The 20,305-nt window shown below is 42.6% G+C and overlaps 1 protein-coding gene across 50 annotated transcripts in view; it reads right to left on the reverse strand.

The window, feature by feature from the left end:
* HERC1 (HECT and RLD domain containing E3 ubiquitin protein ligase family member 1) overlaps window positions 55-20,305 on the reverse strand; it is a 225,331-nt gene continuing 205,080 nt past the window's right edge. For all 50 annotated transcript variants that reach the window (XM_047433260.1, XM_047433247.1, XM_047433234.1 and 47 more), the window contains 9 exons: window positions 20,114-20,252; window positions 17,422-17,591; window positions 15,595-15,764; window positions 15,162-15,327; window positions 14,252-14,328; window positions 7,867-8,119; window positions 7,205-7,357; window positions 3,688-3,993; window positions 55-703 (listed from right to left, as the gene is read on the reverse strand). In XM_047433260.1, the coding sequence (XP_047289216.1) occupies window positions 518-703; window positions 3,688-3,993; window positions 7,205-7,357; window positions 7,867-8,119; window positions 14,252-14,328; window positions 15,162-15,327; window positions 15,595-15,764; window positions 17,422-17,591; window positions 20,114-20,252 (1,620 nt within the window). In that variant the 3' untranslated portion in view covers window positions 55-517. The remainder of the gene's footprint in view (window positions 704-3,687; window positions 3,994-7,204; window positions 7,358-7,866; window positions 8,120-14,251; window positions 14,329-15,161; window positions 15,328-15,594; window positions 15,765-17,421; window positions 17,592-20,113; window positions 20,253-20,305) is intronic.

Here is a 20,305-nt window from a genome sequence, read left to right on the forward strand (position 1 = left end):
TCGATGGTAACCCCTAGTCAGAAGCTCCGCAGGAAGCAATACCAAGAGCCACGCTCCAATTCCTGAATCTGCTTTATTTCTCTGCATAAGGAACCCTGAACAGGCAATTCAAATTAAAACAAAATAAATATATGAATATTCATGTAAAACTGTCCTTTCTAATGAACAATTATACACAATGTACAATTTCATGTTCACTGGGTGGATTTACAAAAATGTACCATTCCCAACTAAAAATGCACCAAAATGGTTTCATGCAAACTTATCAAAAGTGACCAAAAATATGGAGGGAAAAACCTGACTGAGAGCACTTCGTTTTTGTTGTTTTTGTACAATCACAGAAAAATAAAAACATCTAATTTCTTTGTTACATTTAGAGTAACTAAATGTGGCCATTGTTTATAATGTTGGTTTATGTTCTTATAACATCTATGTAGTTACCATAAAAGTATATCAACATCAAATCAGAAGTGAGCATTATTGAGGGAGAGAAGGGAGGGTGAGAGCACCCGCACGGTCAGTAGTCAGTGTCGGAGCCCTCGGCGTTGTCCACGTTTCTCGAGAGCATGTAGTTGTCCATGTCGATTGAGCGGCAGTTGTTGATGGCATAGCGCAGGCGCTCGGCCATGACCAGCTGGCTGGAGTACGGGGGCAGCCTCAGCTGGAAGAAGCAGGTCTGTGAGGTAGGCAGACTGTCGTAAGGCTGTGGAGAGAGACCCAGAGCCGTGACTGGGGACATCAGAGTGCCATAAGGGGGAGTGGGGCTGCCCATGACCTCTCCCTGCCTTCAAGATGGAATTAACATGGCCACATGGTTAAGTCAAGTGGACACAGAGACTGGGCCAGATAGAATGAGCTGAGGCCCTACTGCCCCGTGGCCCTCGAGGCTCTGGGTGAAGATGTTCCTTCTTGTCCTCACCTCCTCCAGTGCCTGTGTGTGTAAAGTGAGGAGAAGCTCTGACTGGCAGGATTGCTTGAGAGAATACACTACGCACAGCGCCTGGCACAGGATGAGAGTGTAGTAAGAGGGCACCTGTCCTTCATACCCATCCACCAAGAGGGTGCAGACTGGAAGCCAGCTGCAGGGATGCCCCCACAGAGCAGGTAGAATGGAAAGAACGACTGTGAGGTGCAGCTGGCCATGGGAGCCTCTTTGCCCCCTCTCCTCTCCCTGTCCTCATGTGCATTCTGCCTCCTTTGCAGGCGCCATGGCTGCCTCGCACAGCTCACATAAGGAAGGGGCAGTCAATTAAACTCCAGTCCATCCATTCAACTGACGGTGATGCATCATTTAAAATGATAATTATGATGACTGGCAGCAAAACAGAAAGGTGTTCAGGATACATTAGGAGGTTAAAGGCAGAAAAAATTCTAGATACATCATATAAAAATTTGTACAATTGAGGCAAAGACTATGAGGAATTTCACAAAGGTAAAAATAGCTACTACTGGAGAGACAGGATTATATACGTTCCCTATCCCTCCTTGCAAACATAACTATTTTCTAAACAATTTGTAATAATAGTAATGGCATTATAGTGTTTTTATAAATTTTTAAAACGTTTGCTTAAAAAAAAAAAAAAGAACCTGTCTTCTCTCACTCAACCTCCTCTTGAAATCAGCCCTCCTCCCCAGAGCCCACACCTAGGTAAGCCACATGTCCTGCTATGGGAGGTGGATGGCCCAGCAGCCCAAATGCACCAGAGCCAGTGATGACACAGCTCAACGCAGAAAAACTGAAAGCAGCAAGGAAGGGAGGTGCCACTAGGTGGCTCTGATGACCTAAATGTGAGTACTGTAGAAATGATCTAAAAGCCACAGAGGAACCGACCACGGTAGTCAGTTACTGATGCTGACAACCCTGAGACCGGAGATTAGTGGTGGATTAACTCCTAGAACGGCAGGAGTAGCCCAGGACAGATATAAGGCAAGGGTTGTTTCCAGAGCTGAGTAGAAATGAGCCATTTCCTCCTTCCTACTTCTCTCTGAAGCAACAAAACAGATTTACAACTTACAGTTCTTGGCAAGTCATGCAGAAAATTTATGGAAAGGCTCTTTTATAATCCTTCCTGCACGTGGCTTCTCCAGCAAGCCTAGCCCAGGAGCAGAGCAGCAGCCTGCAGCCTCAGGAGGCAGCACAGGGAGGAATAGCTTTGGCTACACCAGAAAGCCAGACACTTAAACTGGCAGGAAGGGCCTGTGTGTGAAGAGGCCCCACTTCCCTTACTGTTTTCTGAACAAACATCATGGGCCCTGCTCAGAGAACTGCCCAGCTCATGTGGGAGAGAGGGCTTGTGAAGAGTGGGGATGGAGACAGAGGGAGGAGAGGCACTCCTAACTGAATGCAGTAAGTTCTGGGTTTGAGGGCTGTACCCAGTGTTCAGGAGGTGGAGAGAAGGAGTCTGGCTAGGTCTGCCTTCAGCAATGGTAGGGGCACTCCTGGAAAGCATCTAGGAGGGGTTCTTGGAGGAGATGACTGGCATTGGGCTTATAGGATGAGTAAGTGCTTGCCAGAGATAGAAGGAAAGGGGTGTGAAGAAGGACTTACTAAAGCAGAGGGAACAGGTTACATAAAAGCACAGAATTTTAAAAACAGCCTGGTCTACTGGGGAGAAAGGCAAGCAGCCCATTATGACCAGAACATGAGAAGTATCAAGACGTCACATCAGAAAGTGGGGCAGAGGCCAGACTGTGGAAGTGTTTAAGGCAGCTAAGGTCATTGGCATTTATTTCGGAGTCAACAAAGGGGGTCTCTGAAAGGTCTAAAAGGAGGAGAGTGACATGGTCAGACAGGTGCTTAAGAAAGATGACTCTGGCAGCAGTGTGCTTTTCAGACTCTAAGCCCTCTTATTCCTAAGCCATCTGTCAAAATCACAGCTGGGCTGGGGCTCTGCAGCTGGGGCCTTTCATCAGATGGCAGAGATGCAGCCCTGCCTGCTCCACAAGGCACACAACACAAGTGGGCACAGAGGTTATCGTTGCTCCCCACATCTTTGGGTTCCTTCTGGGGCACACCCACCAGTTAATGGTTAATATTTTCATGAAAACAAACAAGGCCATGCCTCAGCACAGGAAGAGGCAGTATGATGATCCTTCTGCCAAGTTCAGCTTTAACTCAGGAAGATGCTGGAAGATTTAGGGAAGGTTGTTGGTTGTAGTATGCTCTCTTCATCCACTTAGGACTCTTCCCACTGAAGCTAAATGATATTTCTAAACAAATTTTACTGCTTGATTTTTTTCATTAATCTGGAAATTCTAAGTATTAATAAGCATGAATCGGCAGGCCTACTTGAGGGTCATAGTTTGTTTTCCCCAACATAAAAGCAACAAGGCGCAGAGGGCCAGGCGTGTTGGCTCACGCCTGTAATCCCAGCACTTTGGGAGGCCAACGTGACCAGATCACCTGAGGTCAGTAGTTCAAGACCAGCCTGGCCAACATGGTGAATCCCCGTCTCTACCAAAATATACAAAAAAATTAGCCAGGCGTGGTGGCACGCACCTGTAGTCCCAGCTACTGCGGAGGCTGAGGCAGGAGAACTGCTTGAAGCTAGGAAGCGGAGGTTGCAGTAAGCTAAAATCATGCCACTGCACTCCAGCCTGGGCCACAGAGTGAGACCCTGTCTCAACAAAAACAACAATGAAGCAATAAGGCAGACATTACAAAGGAAAAAAGAATAGCTTACTTACCCTATCAACCTTCATGATTTGAAATCTCTGAGAAATGTCAGCAGTGTTGGCTGGTAGTCGAGATCTTCCTGACACAAACCTCATGAAAAGCACCCGCTCCTCATTGGAGAACTCTTCCAGCGTGTGCCAGAACCACTGCACCAGCTGATGCTGCTCATCCACCTCACGGTACCGCACCACTTTCTTCAAGACTTCCACAGAGATCTCGGGCATCCCACACACCATCTGCTCCAGTTGTTTTGCTGTGAGGAGGGACAGCAGCGGCACAGGAACAATCCAGGACATCCCTTCTCGGACTGCAGCCACCTGCTCCCGGGAGAGGTTGCTCATTCAATGAGTGTGCGTGAACCTGGCACCCACCAAGGGCCCTGTGGGGCTAGGCGCCTCCTGATGCCTGCTCGTCCGCTCCCCAGACCCTCTACTTGTTTCTCAGACCGCCAGGCACGAGAGTCAGTCAAAAAGGCCCACCCTCCCTGCCTCTCAACCCTTGTTAGAGTGCCTCCCTGCTGTGGGATTCTTACACTCCTGGTTCCAGTTCAAGTCCAATTTAGGAGCCTGCCTTCCCTCTACCACAAAATCTCAGCCCACTGGGGCCTTCCCTGATGCCAGCCCCACTCACTCATATTCCTAATCATATGTGCCCATGTGCTGTCAAACTATGCATGTGTGGACACTTCATCTCATAAAGGTAAGAAGCTTTGGGGGCACTCAACTAGCTGCCTACTGTTTTTTAAATTTATATTTGTCTTTTGAAAATAATTATATCCTTTTTGTAAAAATTATTTGTGCTCATCGTAAAAAAAATCTGAAAAGTACAAAGAAGAAAGTAAAAATGGGAAGTCCTTCTTTAGGAAGGCAATAGAAGAGGCAATGAATTTAGTGAAGAGACTTGGGTTCTAACTCCCAGCTCTGCCAATTATTAACTCTCTTAATTTTTCCGTCTGAAAAAAGCAGATATTGCTGCTCTCATGTGGCTCTGATGAGAACTGTATATGAGTAACTACATGAAATTCTGTGTGACTGGGTAATTCTACCCTGCTCTGTTCTCTTAGCATCATAGTGCTGGGCACAGGCAAGTTGGGGAGTGCCAAGTAGGGTGCAACCAGGGGCTGCCTTGACAGCTTGTTTAGAAAAATGTCTCCTCCAATATTATACAGTAGTGCATACCCTACACACAGACTCACCACTGTTCAAGGTTTGTTTCATAAATACTTCTTTGCTCTTGGCCAACTCAAAACCATCTACCACCATTTAAAAAGTCTAAGAATCTGAATAGGGACCATACCTTAAGGAAGTGAGTAACTATGTGAGGTGATGGATATGTTAATTTGCTTCACTATAATAACCTTTTTACTATCTATATGCATATCCTATATTATCGTGTTGTACACCTTAAATATACATAATAAAATTTATTATATATATAAAAAAAAACTGGGCCAAGTACAATGGTTTGCCCTGTCATCCCAGCTACTTGGAAGGCTAAGGCAGGAGATCCCTTGAGCCCAACAGTTCAAAGCTGCAGTGAGTGCCACTGCACTCCAGCCTGGGTGACAGAGCAAGACCCTCTCTTAAAAAATAAAATAATAAAAAACTGGCACTAAGGTTGTCCCATAAGGATCAGAGATTGGCAGTAAAGGCAGTCTCTTCTGATAGTAAAGGTCAATACCCCACCAAAGTCTGCCAAACGAAAACAAAAACGAACAAGCTGTTATGCTTGGTGGAACACAAAACAAAAGCTGTCTGGAAAAAAAATTAGGCTGAGGTATGGGGCTGGCTGCTTGGAGATGGCAGGGGGACAACTGAGGACAGTTATGGGATAAACACTCAGTTCTAAGAGATGAAGAGGAACCAAAGACCAATTCATATATAAAGAAAGAGGAGGAAGGGCTTGTTACTGAGAACAGAACAAAGCCAGGGCAGAGCAGAACACAGCTGTGGAAAGGGAGTGTCCATCCAACCCTCAGAAGAAGGGTCATCAGAAAAGCCTGGACACCATCTTAGAGCCTGGTTTGGGGTCTTGGCTCTGCTGTGGGCACTCAGTGCTTTCTTCTGTGAAACAGAGCTGGCAATCCTTACCTCACAGAGTAACTATGGGAAAAATGGCACCCAAGAGTGCCTGGCACCATGGCTGGCGTGCAGAAGGTTATCAATACATTTCTAGTCAGTTATTTATTCTCTGAGGATTAAAAATATTCATCAACTGGAGACAAACACTAATCCCTGGCTGTGTAAATAGCATCACTGACAAGACCCAACTTCACTAGGCTAAAGATATCATTTTTCTGATGGGACTTGGCCCAAAGTCTAAGAAGGAGCTGGGAGTGAGGGGTATGGAGTATGTATACTTCAAATCACTAAACTTCTATAGCTTCACAGCCTGAGTCCAGCTCTTGAGAAGACCCCAACATATTCTGCAAATAAAGTATTACTGAAATGCTATTAATGACTGTATTATCAAAAGAACCATTTTTGGACACCATATTTATGACCACATGAGTGGTCACTCATTCACACTCCCATTATTAAATGCTTACTTACCTGTCAGCACAGAACAAGGATAACTCAAATGAAATAGAAAATGCATTCTTCATTCAATTTCTTGCAAGTTGAGGAAACAAGACCTAAATTCTGGGGCCTACTTCCTAGACCATAACATAGAAGTATGTGATATATCTTGAGGAACTTCAAAGTAAGGAAAAAGATCACAGGTTGGTGACCTGGAGGTAAGCTTGTGTGTGCAGGAGATGCCCTCTTAGCTGAGGCTTAAAGAACAGCAGCAAGACAGGGAAAGGGAAATCCATGTGAGGTCATAAGACCAGCATTTGAAGGTTCATTTACGTGGGCCCTGACTAACCCAACTAGAGTGGAGACGCTGAGCTGGGAAGCAGTAAGACATGAGGACAAACAGGACTAAGGAGGAGTAAGGAGGAGTAAGAAGGCAAGGTCTGAATGCCAGATGAAAACAGTCTCAATCCAACCAAAGACCAATTCAGAACCGATTTAAGGCACTGGGTATGGAGAAAAAGGCCTGAGAAGTCTCTGAATAGGGTTTGGAATATAAATACAAAGGAATCACCAAGTGCGGTGGCTCACACCTGTAATCCCAACACTTTGGGAAGCTGAGGCAGGTGGATCACTTGAGGCCAGGAGTTCAAGACCAGCCTGGCTAACATGGCAAAACCCCATCTCTACCAAAAAATAAAAAGATTAGCTAGGCGTGGTGACACATGCCTGTAGTCCCAGCTACTGGGGAGGCTGAGGCCAGAGAATCACTTGAACCCAGGAGGCAGAGGCTGCAGTGAGCTGAGACTGAACCACTGCACTCCAGCCTAGGCGACAGAGTGAGGTGCTGTCTCAAAAATAAATAAGTAAATTAAAATAAATAAATTCATACATACATACAGAGGAATTAACACAGTAAATACATATTAGCAGATTTTGGCATACCCAGTCAGCTCTCATTTGGAGAGAAACCCAAGCATTCATGTGTACCTCCCGAGATGTTTCATCTCACCTGTCTGTCCATCTCATGAAGTCGATATTCAATGGCCCTCTCCACATATTCCTTCCTGTTGGAAAATGTGAGTGGGATACTATTTCCACCAGGGATTATAGGAACCATTTTGCCATCAGCACTCTGGCCAACAAAAGAATCAAGAGGAATCATCTAGGAACAGAAGAAAACAGAATTTTTATTACATGGTAGAAATGACAGCAAAAAGTATTTTACATACAAATACGGCACAGCAATAACAAACTCACAATTTTTAAGGATAAAAACAAGGAACACAAAACAGGTAGGACTGATCAGGCTACTTGATCAGCAGGAATGTGATGACTCAACCAGCTGTAGTTAAAAATGGGACAAAATCTCTCTGTTCACAAACCAAGCCTGTTGAACTCTCGTGACCTCAGGCCTCCCCTTCCACCTTGGTTCTTCACTCTAACAGGCAGAAAAAAATTAAGGGGGAAGGAGCAACTAAGTGCAGGAGCCTGCTCTATTAGAAGCTGTTTAAACTGCTGCGGTTGAGCTGCTAAGGGCAGCAATGGCATAGATATGGCATTGTTCAGCCAGACAGCAAGTGGAAGACTGTATCTCAATTTTACACAGAAAAATTCTAGTCTGTGCATATAGGACGTCAACACCAGTAGAAACATAGACTGGCCAGGATTTACCTCATGGAAACTCTCCTCGGTAATCCCACTGTCTTCAATGTGAAGAATGCTGTTGAGAGTCTGCACGTAGAGCAGATCCACCTCCTCCAGGTCCTCTAGGGTGAGTGGGACACAGCACAGCTGCTTCCACACCAGAGGGGCCAAGTGGAGGTCCAGAGGCTTCTTTGTGCGAATGGCAACCCCCATTAAAATTCCTAAAAACTTAAACTGCATTAAGTGTTCATCGAGGCAGGCAGAAGGGTTAAAAAGGAACCTGTAAAATTAAAGGGAATATTTCAAACAGCATTTTCCTTATTTCTATTAGAAATAAGTTAGCAACAACAGCTATAGCGTTAGTCTATACCTGTACTGTTCAATATGGCATCCATTAGCCACATAAGGCTAAAGTAATTAAATAAAACTAAAAATTCAGTTCTTCGGCTTCCCTAATCACACGTTGAGTTCTCAAAAGCCACATGTGGACCGTAGTTATTGTTTCACACAGCACATGGACTATATTCTGAACTATTTTTAGAAGAACTATGTAAGGATCTTAAGCTACCTGCTCCAGAATGCCTTGTTTTCTAAAATCATTATCTTTTTTTTTTTTTATTATTATACTTTAAGTTTTAGGGTACATGTGCACAACGTGCAGGTTTGTTACATATGTATACATGTGCCATGTTGGTGTGCTGCACCCATTAACTCTTCATTTAACATTAGGTATATCTCCTAATGCTATCCCTCCCCGCTCCCCTCACCCCACAACAGGCCCCAGTGTGTGATGTTCCCCTTCCTGTGTCCATGTGTTCTCATTGTTCAATTCCCACCTATGAGTGAGAACACGAAGTGTTTGGTTTTTTGTCCTTGCAATAGTTTGCTGAGAATGATGGTTTCCAGCTTCATTCATGTCCCTACATGACATGAACTCATCATTTTTTATGGCTGCATAGTATTCCATGGTGTATAAGTGCCACATTTTCTTAATCCAGTCTATCATTGTTGGACATTTGGGTTGGTTCCAAGTCTTTCCTATTATGAATAGTGCCGCAATAAACATACGTGTGCATGTGTCCTTATAGCAGAATGTTTTATAATCCTTTGGGTATATACCCAGTAATGGGATGGCTGGGTCAAATGGTATTTCTAGTTCTAGATCCATGAGGAATCACCACACTGACTTCCACAATGGTTGAACTAGTTTACAGTCCCACCAACAGTGTAAAAGTGTTCCTATTTCTCCACATTCTCTCCAGCACCTGTTGTTTCCTGACTTCTTAATGATCGCCATTCTAATTGGTGTGAGATGGTATTTCATTGTGGTTTTGATTTGCATTTCTCTGATGGCCAGTGATGATGAGCATTTTTTCATGTGTCTTTTGGCTGCATAAATGTCTTCTTTTGAGAAGTGTCTGTTCATATCTTTCGCCCACTTTTTGATGGGGTTGTTTTTTTCTTGTAAATGTGTTGGAGTTCATTGTAGATTCTGGATATTAGCCCTTTGTCAGATGAGTAGGTTGCAAAAATTTTCTCCCATTCTGTGGGTCGCCTGTTCACTCTGATGGTAGTTTCTTTTGCTGTGCAGAAGCTCTTTAGTTTAATTAGATCCCATTTGTCAATTTTGGCTTTTGTTGCCATTGCTTTTGGTGTTTTAGACATGAAGTCCTTGCCCATGCCTATGTCCTGAATGGTAATGCCTAGGCTTTCTTCTAGGGTTTTTATGGTTTTAGGTCTAACATTTAAGTCTTTAATCCATCTTGAATTCATTTTTGTATAAGGTGTAAGGAAGGGATCCAGTTTCAGCTTTCTACATATGGCTAGCCAGGTTTCCCAGCACCATTTATTAAATAGGGAATCCTTTCCCCATTTGTTTCTGTCAGGTTTGTCAAAGATCAGATAGTTGTAGATATGCGGCATTATTTCTGAGGGCTCTGTTCTGTTCCATTGGTCTATATCTCTGTTTTGGTACCAGTACCATGCTGTTTTGGTTACTGTAGCCTTGGAGTATAGTTTGAAGTCAGGTAGTGTGATGCCTCCAGCTTTGTTCTTTTGGCTTAGGATTGACTTGGCAATGCGGGCTCTTTTTTGGTTCCATATGAACTTTAAAGTAGTTTTTTCCAATTCTGTGAAGAAAGTCATTGGTAGCTTGATGGGGATGGCATTGAATCTATAAATTACCTTGGGCAGTATGGCCATTTTCACGATATTGATTCTTCCTACCCATGAGCATGGAATGTTCTTCCATTTATTTCTATCCTGTTTTATTTCCTTGAGCAGTGGTTTGTAGTTCTCCTTGAAGAGGTCCTTCACATCCCTTGTAAGTTGGATTCCTATTTTATTCTCTTTGAAGCAACTGTGAATGGAAGTTCACTCATGATTTGGCTCTCTGTCTGTTATTGGTGTATAAGAATGTTTGTGATTTTTGCACATTGATTTTGTATCCTGATACTTTGCTGAAGTTGCCTATCAGCTTAAGGAGATTTTGGGATGAGATGATGGGGTTTTCTAGATATACAATCATGTCATCTGCAAACAGGGACAATTTGACTTCCTCTTTTCCTAACTGAATGCCCTTTATTTCCTTCTCCTGCCTGATTGCCCTGGCCAGAACTTCCAACACTATGTTGAATAGGAGTGGTGAGAGAGGGCATCCCTCTCTTGTGCCAGTTTTCAAAGGGAATGCTTCCAGTTTTTGCCCATTCAGTATGATATTGGCTGTGGGTTTATCATAGATAGCTCTTACTATTTTGAGATATGTCCCATCAATACCTAATTTATTGAGAGTTTTTAGCATGAAGCGTTGTTGAATTTTGTCAAAGGCCTTTTCTGCACCTATTGAGATAATCATGTGGTCTTTATCTTTGGTTCTGTTTATATGCTGGATTATGTTTATTGATTTTCGTATGTTGAACCAGCCTTGCATCCCAGGGATGAAGCCCACTTGATCATGGTGGATAAGCTTTTTGATGTGTTGCTGGATTCGGTTTGCCAGTATTTTATTGAGGATTTTTGCATCAATGTTCATCAAGGATATTGGTCTAAAATTCTCTTTTTTTGTTGTGTCTCTGCCAGGCTTTGGTTTCAGGATGATGCTGGCCTCCTAAAATGAGTTAGGGAGGATTCCCTCTTTTTCTATTGATTGGAATAGTTTCAGAAGGAATGGTACCAGCTCCTCCTTGTACCTCTGGTAGAAGTTGGCTGTGAATCCGTCTGGTCCTGGACTTTTTTTGGTTGGTAAGCTATTAATTATTGCCTCAATTTCAGAGCCTGTTTGGTCTATTCAGAGATTCAACTTCTTCCTGGTTTAGTCTTGGGAGAGTGTATGTGTCGAGGAATTTATCCATTTCTTCTAGATTTTCTAGTTTATTTGCATAGAGGTGTTTATAGTATTCTCTGATGGTAGTTTGTATTTCTGTGGGATCGGTGGTGATATCCCCTTTGTCATTTTTTATTGCGTCTATTTGATTCTTCTCTCTTTTCTTCTTTATTAGTCTTGCTAGCAGTCTATCAATTTTGTTGATCTTTTCAAAAAACCAGCTCCTGGATTCATTGATTTTTTGAAGGTTTTTTGTGTCTCTATCTCCTTCAGTTCTGCTCTGATCTTAGTTATTTATTGCCTTCTGCTAGCTTTTGAATGTGTTTGCTCTTGCTTCTCTAGTTCTTTTTATTGTGATGTTAGGGTGTCAATTTTCGATCTTTCCTGCTTTCTCTTGTGGGCATTTAGTGCTATAAATTTCCCTCTACACACTGCTTTGAATGTGTCCCAGAGATTCTGGTATGTTGTGTCTTTGTTCTCGTTGGTTTCAAAGAACATCTTCATTTCTGCCTTCATTTCATTATGTACCCAGTAGTCATTCAGGAGCAGGTTGTTCAGTTTCCATGTAGTTGAGCGGTTTTGAGTGAGTTTCTTAATCCTGAGTTCTAGTTTGATTGCACTGTGGTCTGAGAGACAGTTTGTTATAATTTCTGTTCTTTTACATTTGCTGAGGAGTGCTTTACTTCCAACTATGTGGTCAATTTTGGAATAGGTGTGGTGTGGTGCTGAAAAGAATGTATATTCTGTTGATTTGGGGTGGAGAGTTCTGTAGATATCTATTAGGTCTGCTTGGTGCAGAGCTGAGTTCAATTCCTGGATATCCTTGTTAACTTTCTATCTCGTTGATCTGTCTAATGTTGACAGTGGGGTGTTAAAGTCTCCCATTATTATTGTGTGGGAGTCTAAGTCTCTTTGTAGGTCACTAAGGACTTGGTTTATCAATCTGGGTGCTCCTGTATTGGGTGCATATATATTTAGGATAGTTAGTTCTTCTTGTTGAATTGATCCCTTTACCATTATGTAATGGCCTTCTTTGTCTCTTTTGATCTTTGTTGGTTTAAAGTTGTTTTATCAGAGACTAGGATTGCAACCCCTGCCTTTTTTTGTTTTCCATTTGCTTGGTAGATCTTCCTCCATCCCTTTATTTTGAGCCTATATGTGTCTCTGCATGTGAGATGGGTTTCCTGAATGCAGCACACTGATGGGTCTTGACTCTTTATCCAATTTGCCAGTCTGTGCCTTTTAATTGGAGCATTTAGCCCATTTACATTTAAGGTTAGTATTGTTATGTGTGAATTTGATCCTGTCATTATGATATTAGCTGGTTATTTTGCTCGTTAGTTGATGCAGTTTCTTCCTAGCCTCGATGGTCTTTACAATTTGGCATGTTTTTGCAGTGGCTGGTACCAGTTCTTCCTTTCCATGTTTAGTGCTTCCTTCAGGAGCTCTTTTAGGGCAGGCCTGGTGGTGACAAAATCTCTCAGCATTTGCTTGTCTGTAAAGTATTTTATTTCTCCTTCACTTATGAAGCTTAGTTTGGCTGGATATGAAATTCTGGGTTGAAAATTCTTTTCTTTAAGAATGTTGAATATTGGCCCCCACTCTCTTCTGGCTTGTAGAGTTTCTGCCGAGATATCTGCTGTTAGTCTGATGTGCTTCCCTTTGTGGGTAACCCGACCTTTCTCTCTGGCTGCTCTTAACATTTTTTCCTTCATTTCAACTTTGGTGAATCTGACAATTATGTGTCTTGGAGTTGCTCTTCTCGAGGAGTATCTCTGTGGCATTCTCTGTATTTCCTGAATTTGAATACTGGCCTGCCTTGTTAGACTGGGGAAGTTCTCCTGGATACTATCCTGCAGAGTGTTTTCCAACTTGGTTCCATTCTCCCACTTTCAGGTACACCAATCAGATGTAGATTTGGTCTTTTCACATAGTCCCATATTTCTTGGAGGCTTTGTTCGTTTCTTTTTATTCTTTTTTCTCTAAACTTCTCTTCTCGCTTCATTTCATTCATTTGATCTTCCATCACTGATACCCTTTCTTCCAGTTGATCGAATCGGTTACTGAGGCTTGTGCATTCATCACGTAGTTTTCGTGCCACGGTTTTCAGCTCCATCAGGTCCTTTAAGGACTTCTCTGCATTGGTTATTCTAGTTAGCCATTCGTCTAATTTTTTTTCAAGGTTTTTAACTTCTTTGCCATGGGTTCGAACTTCCTCCTTTAGCTCAGGGTAGTTTGATCGTCTGAAGCCTTCTTCTCTCAACTCGTCAAAGTCATTCTCCGTCCAGCTTTGTTCCGTTGCTGGTGAGGAGCTGCGTAATCATTCTGTTTTTAATTTACAAGTCCATGAAACAGGATCCAAAATTCAAAATTTTGCAAATATAAAGATAGTATGTAATTGCAAATACTAAATTTTGTGACTTGCTAGCATAATAACACTTTTAAATAAATTTTGGTGCAGAAAATTCATTATGGGGAGGCCATGTGGGCCTTCAGAAACATAAATCAGGTTTCATGATTAAGTCTGAGCTTCCTCTCCCCTCTATATTATCATTGATTTGGTCTCAATAAATACCAAGTCTTGATGGAAGTGCCTGTTTCCTTTTTTTTTTTTTTTTTTTGAGATGTGGTCTCGCTCTGTTGCCCAGGCTGGAGTACAGTGGCCTGATCTCGGCTCACTGCAGCCTCTGCCTCCTGGGTTCAAATCAAGTGATTCTCCTGCCTCAGCCTCCCAAGTAGCTGGGATTACAGGCATGTGCCACCATGACCGGCTAATTTTTGCATTTTTAGTAGAGATGGGGTTTCACCATGTTGGCCAGGCTGGTCTTAAACTCCTGATATCAGGTGATCCACCCGCCTCAGCCTCCCAAAGTGCTGGAATTACAGGCGTAAGCCACCATGCCTGGCCTGTTTCCTCATCTTTGACAAGAGGATAACAACAATATTTACTCCTTAGGGTTACAATGAGGACTGAAGGGGATAATAGGTGTAAAGCACTTAAAACAGGACCTGGTACATAGTAAGCACTCAATAAATGTGAGCTATTATTATTATTTTAGACATATAATGAACACTTGCTGACTGCCATACCTGTCCCTATTGTAACCCACTTCTGCGGTGGCATTGGGAGAGGGTATAAGAAGGTCAACAATACCAGTTTCAAGTTCCTGCAGAAGAAAGAAAAAAATTTTTTGAGAAATGACAATCAAATGCATGAAGAGAACAAACCAATTACAAGATCATACTGAAAAGAGAATATTTTGAGGAATTTATAATGCCATGTGACAACCAACAATTTCATACTTTATTTTTGTGGTTTCAATTTAAAATGAAATTAGGAAATCCCCCATATGGAAAGCATTCATGTATGAAGAACCAAAAGGAATGAGAAAGTCAATCCAGGGCAGGAGTAGTGGTGGCTGTGAAAAGAGTGTAGTGATGTTCAAATCGAATCAGTAATGATAGCCAACCATTATTTTAGTCACAGGGTTTACTGGAAAAATCCTGATACTAGGTAATGCTGGAAAGGACAGAGCTGATCTGGAAGCAAAGCTGCCAATGCAGATATTAAAATTAGAACTGGTCTAATTTTAAGACCAGTTCGTAACTTTATTTTTCTAACTCCCCTGGAATCTGGCAGTTCTACTTTGTTCTAAAAGCACCAGAATAAATCAGAGCACATGGGTGCTCCTGGATTTGTCTGTTACATAAATGTACATATATGCCATTGTTATTCTGCCAATATTATAACACAACAGATGGTGAGTCATTGGTAGATGCCTAAGAACTGATATTTATGTAGTAAGGTATCTTGACAAAGCGTTTCAAAAGCTGTTGCTCTAATTTACCTACGTATCACTAACAGCATCACTTTATATGAGGCTCACAAATGCATCCTTGCTACATTTATAAAAACATGCCTGGCAGAGTGATCACTGGAAACAGCAAAATGGCCACTAGCAGACTAGATAACTCAGCAGGGGACACTGCAGGAATATACCTGGCACATCTCTGTGATGGTGTCATCAAACACTCCTCCAGCATCATCAGCCCCTTCTCCAACCAGCTTAACCTTCCACGCTCGGGAAGGCAGGCGGAGGTCTGAAGCATTCAGCTTAACTACTTGTCTCGCTATTTGGACAAAAATAGGCTTACACTTCCGTCCTCTTTAAAAGAAAGGGAGAAAGCAATGAAATACAACTCTTACCAATTTCCCCAAAATCACATGATATCTTCCCATCAGTGAATGAAAAAGCTAGTTTAACAGGCAAGCACTGTGCTAGGCCCACTGTAACCACACCAGGTACTAATGTAAGTACTATTACTATCTACCCTGCCTTAGAAGTGAGGAAACCAAGACTCACAGAAATTAGTAATAACATCCATCTGAAAAAATCACAGCTCATTAGTCAAACACACATACATATGCTAACCTGGTTGATATCCTCTTTACAGTTATCTGAGGTCCATAGTTTTTGCCTTGAACCATGGTTTTTCCTATGGAGCGCACCATTGGCAGAGTGTAGACTCTTGGGGCTAACAAAGGCCGAAGTTGTCCCTGTACAATGCCCCAAGTTCCAGCATTATAATGGGATGTGCTGTTCTGTAACAGAAGGTACGGTTATCAGAAATGGTACAATCTAGGCTTAAAAGAAATAACAATTTTCACTTATAGAACATACATTATTTTGGCTGGGCGCAGTGGCTCATGCCTGTAGTCCCAGCACTTTGGGAGGCTGTGGTGGGCGGATCGCTTGAGCCCAGGAGTTCAAGACTAGCCTGGGTAACATGGCAAAACCCATCTCTACAAAAACACAAAAATTAGCTGGGCATGGTGGCATGTGCCTGTACTCCCAGTTACTCAGGAGGCTGAGGTGGGTGGATCACCTGAGTCCAAGGAGGTTGAGGCTGCAGTGAGCTGAGATAATGCTACTGCACTCCAGCCTGGGCACAGAGTGAGACCCTGTCTCAATATTATTTGAAAAATTGAAAAAAGAACATACATTATTTTAAAAATGCACTTTAAGAGCATAAACTCAGGATTAGGAACTATTAGTAACCTTTAAATTTTTCTTCTGATAAAATATATAATTACCATTTTTAAAAACCTTAGAAAATACAGAGAAGGATACACACATGTATGCACAAATTAAGTAATTCCAAATCCTACCATATAGAGATGCCCCATTAATAATTTCATCTATTTCCTTCCAGTTCTCTTCTGTGTATGCACACATAACATTTTTCACAGTTAATATCATTCTGAGCTGCCTTTCTCAGTTAACTTTACATTATAAACATTTCTTCCACTAATTACAGTTTGCTAACACTCTGTTTAGTGCTGCACAGGACTCTGCTGCCTATCTATTTCTAGCAGTGATTTGTCAAATCTCACGCATGCACACACACACACGCACGCACACACAATAGCTAGCCACTTTGTTACTGGACTAGTCCATAAAGATAGACAAATCAGCAAAATTTACTTTATTTCCCCGACCTCCCTTTCCCCAAGACCCAGAATGCTAATTTGTAAGAAGAGAAAAAAGTATCTGAAATTTCTCAGATTAATTTATGTAACAACCCTGACTGTGGTTCCAACAGCTTTGTGTGCTTACATTTTAAAATCATATTTTAGACTTTGTAGAAATGGCTGGTAGAAGTGGCTGGCAGACTTTGTAGAAGTGGCTGGGAGCGGTGGCTCACACCTGTATTCTCAGCACTTTGGGAGGTGGAGGTGGGGGGGATCATTTGAGGTCAGGAGTTCGAGACCAGCCTGACTAACATGGTGAAACCCCATCTTTACTAAAAATACAAAAATTAGCCAGGCATGGTGGCCCAGGCCTGTAATCTCAGCTACTCAGGAGGCTGAGGCAGGAGAATTGCTTGAACCCAAGAGGCAGAGGTTGCAGTGAGCTGAGATTGCGCCACTGCACTCCAGCCTGGGCGACAGAGTGAGACTCCATCTCAAAAAAAAAAAAAAAAAGAAAGAAATGGTATGTGTAGTATGCGTAGCCATTCATACTTGATTTCTGGATAAACCAAAACACAGAAGGAAGACCACTCTGTCCAGCAGCATCATGTCCAACCTCTAGACTGTCCCTAACACAGCAATAAAATGGGAATAGAAGTGTTATCTTATTAGCCATGAAAGAATTTTCCAAAGGCAGAGGGAAAGGCCCTGGGGCCTGGCGAGCATGTCACGGGCACTGCTTACCAAGCCAGTCTGTGCCTGGCTGCTTACCACGCCAGTCTGTTACCTGGTTGTTGGGGCTAAGGTTCAGCAGTCTCCAGGATGAGTACATGAGGTCAGAGAAGTGGTAGAGCAGCCGGAGCCTGGCCCGCACCGTGTGAATGCTGACTTCTCTCAGCGCCCCATACTGGGGGGGCACTGTGTCAGGCAGGCCCAGCTGCAGAGGTACTGACACACCTGTCCAGAAAGCAAATGGGCACTTATGAAGGAAACAGCATTGCTTTCACTTTTCACATTTTGAAAAATTTCAAGCATACAGAGAAGTTGAGATAATTACACAATGGACACCCATTCAAACCTCTATCCATCGATTCATCTTAGTTTGGTGTGTGCATTTGTGTTGGTTTTTAAAATGTCTTTATCAGGGGGCGGAGAAAAAAATAAAATAAAATAAAATGTCTTCATTATTATGGAAATGAAACCTGGTATTTTCTCTTTTTGTTTCCCATTTTATTTAACAATAGAACTTAGGCAGTTCTTTCACAAAAATAAAGCCAAATTTTTCCTTTCATATTTAATAATTGTCATCTTCATAATACCACAAATGTGGGCAAGGACTAAGTAGGCAGTTCTGGAAAATGGAAATGGGAAACTTAGCAGAGCCAACTCCATATTCACTAGGGATCTGATAGCAAGTATTCATGACAGAAACATATAGGTGCATGATTCATGAGGCTTTTACTACAAGAATAAGAGTTCTGTAAGAAGCAAAGACTACAAGGCCTGCAGCCACAGCTACCCTCCTATAAAAACACATAAAAGAATAAAAACAAGATACAAACTCACTTCAGTTTCCTGTAAATAAAGACTGGTACAGTGCAATTCCTAGATTTATTATTATTGTTCGTAGTAAAAACTAACATTTACTGAGTACCTTCTATGTGCCTGGCACTATTCTAAGAGCTTTACATGAATGGGGCCACTTACTTCTACAGCTCTTTGCAGTAGGTGCTATTATTATCCTCATTTTACAGACAAAACACTGAGTCTCAAGGTCACTCAGATCATATGTGGAGGAGCTGGGATTCAGCCCCAGCAATGTGGCCCCAGAGCTTGAACCTTTACCTGTCACACTGGATAGCTTCTGCCCTAAAGTGGAAGTGAAATCCCTCTGAAGCCACTGAGTACCTGAAATTGTCAGTGCGTAGGCAGCTCTGCTCATTCTAGATTCTGTTAATAGAAACCATTTCCTGCTTGTTTGGCATCTACCTGGAATTCCCACTTTTCTCTCTTAGATATCTAAGAAACAAAATCCCTATGGGGAATCTTAGGACCCCCCCTAAGAAATAGAGGGGTTAACAAAACTGGAAGAGAATGCTGAGCTCTTAGGCACAATGTTGCTTCAGGGAAATTCTAGTGCCTTAGACACCAGAAGATGGTAGAAAGACAAGGCTTGAGGGCCTTGTCCAATAGGCTGGACACAGTGGCTCACACCTGTAATCCCAGCACTTTGGGACGCTGAGGCTTGAACTCCAGACTTGAGGTCAGGAGTTCAAGACCAGCCTGGCCAATATGGCGAAACACCATCTCTACTAAAAATATTAAAATGAGTTGGGCGTGGTGGCACATGCCTGTAATCCCAGCTACGTGGGAGGCTGAGGCAGGAGAATCGCTTGAACCCGGGAGGCAGAGGTTGCAGTAAGCCGAGATTGCGCCATTACACTCCAGCCTGGGCAACAAAGTGAGACTCTGTCTCGAAAAAAAAAAAAAAAAGGAAACTGCCCAAATATGAAGAAATGTGTAAGAATGACAAATGTCACAACATTAAGGTAACAGCTACATCTGGAAGGAATGGAAGATAGATCAAATCAGAAAGGGCCCACAGTTGGGTGTTGAGCACACAAGTATGTATTATGGTTTTCTTTAAATCTTTGTGTAGCTATACAAAAATTTCATAATAAATTAAAAATAAAACAAACAACAAAAAGCTTGAAGTAGCCCACCAGTCTTGCTAAACACAGGAATAAAATGGCAGCAAGTTGACTGCTGTGCCAATGCACAGACATCATGTTTCAAATGGTTAACTAAGGTGAGGAATTTGACAAATGGTCTCAGGGCTTTTAATCTTTATTTCTAACAGTGGGCCTTAGAAAGCTATAATTTGTCATTTCTTTTATATATTAAAAATACCGGCCAGGCGCTGTGGCTCATGCCTGTAATCCTAACACTTTGGGAGGCTGAGGCGGGCGGATCACTGGAGGTCAGGAATTTGAGACCAGCCTGGCCAACATGGCGAAACCCCGTTTCTACTAAAAACAGAAAAAATTAGCCAGGAATGGTAGTGCATGCCTGTAGTCCCAGCTACTTGGGAGGCTGAGGCAGCAGTCATTTGAACCTGGGAGGCGGAGGCTGCAGTGAGCTGAGATCACACCACTGCACTCCAGCCTAGGTGACAGAGCAAGACTCCATCTCAAAAAAAAACTTAGTTGCTGCTAAAATTATAAATTTTTGCTTGCATAAGTAATATGTATTCTGCTTTTGGGAGTGCAGAGAGGACGTGGTTCATACTGATGTCAGCAGAACAAATGCCTGCTATGAAAATACTTCCAGTGCTAGTAGCACAAAGAATGCTTTGTGTGGCAGAAGGCTTGATGGTTTCACAACGATGCTGGATACAGTTGGGAACTGGCAAGCAGACAGTGCCATGGGGTACTGCTAAAAAAGAAACGCTGCAGGAGCATGAATATTTCATTCCTCACCTGGTGCTCTTGGTGGGACAGGTGGTGCTGTCCATGCAGCACTGTGGCAGCGGCCAGCCGAGATCTGCCGAACATTTTTCCCTTGCAGACCTGTTACCAGGGTTGGTTCTCGAACATGGTTGGTATGGCCTAAGCCGAGCTGGGAATAAATCACAAATATACAGACATTCAATTAGAAAGAGGAAGAGAGGA

Source organism: Homo sapiens, chromosome 15 (assembly GCF_000001405.40).
Source record: "Homo sapiens chromosome 15, GRCh38.p14 Primary Assembly".
NCBI classification, from domain to species: Eukaryota; Metazoa; Chordata; class Mammalia; order Primates; family Hominidae; genus Homo; species Homo sapiens.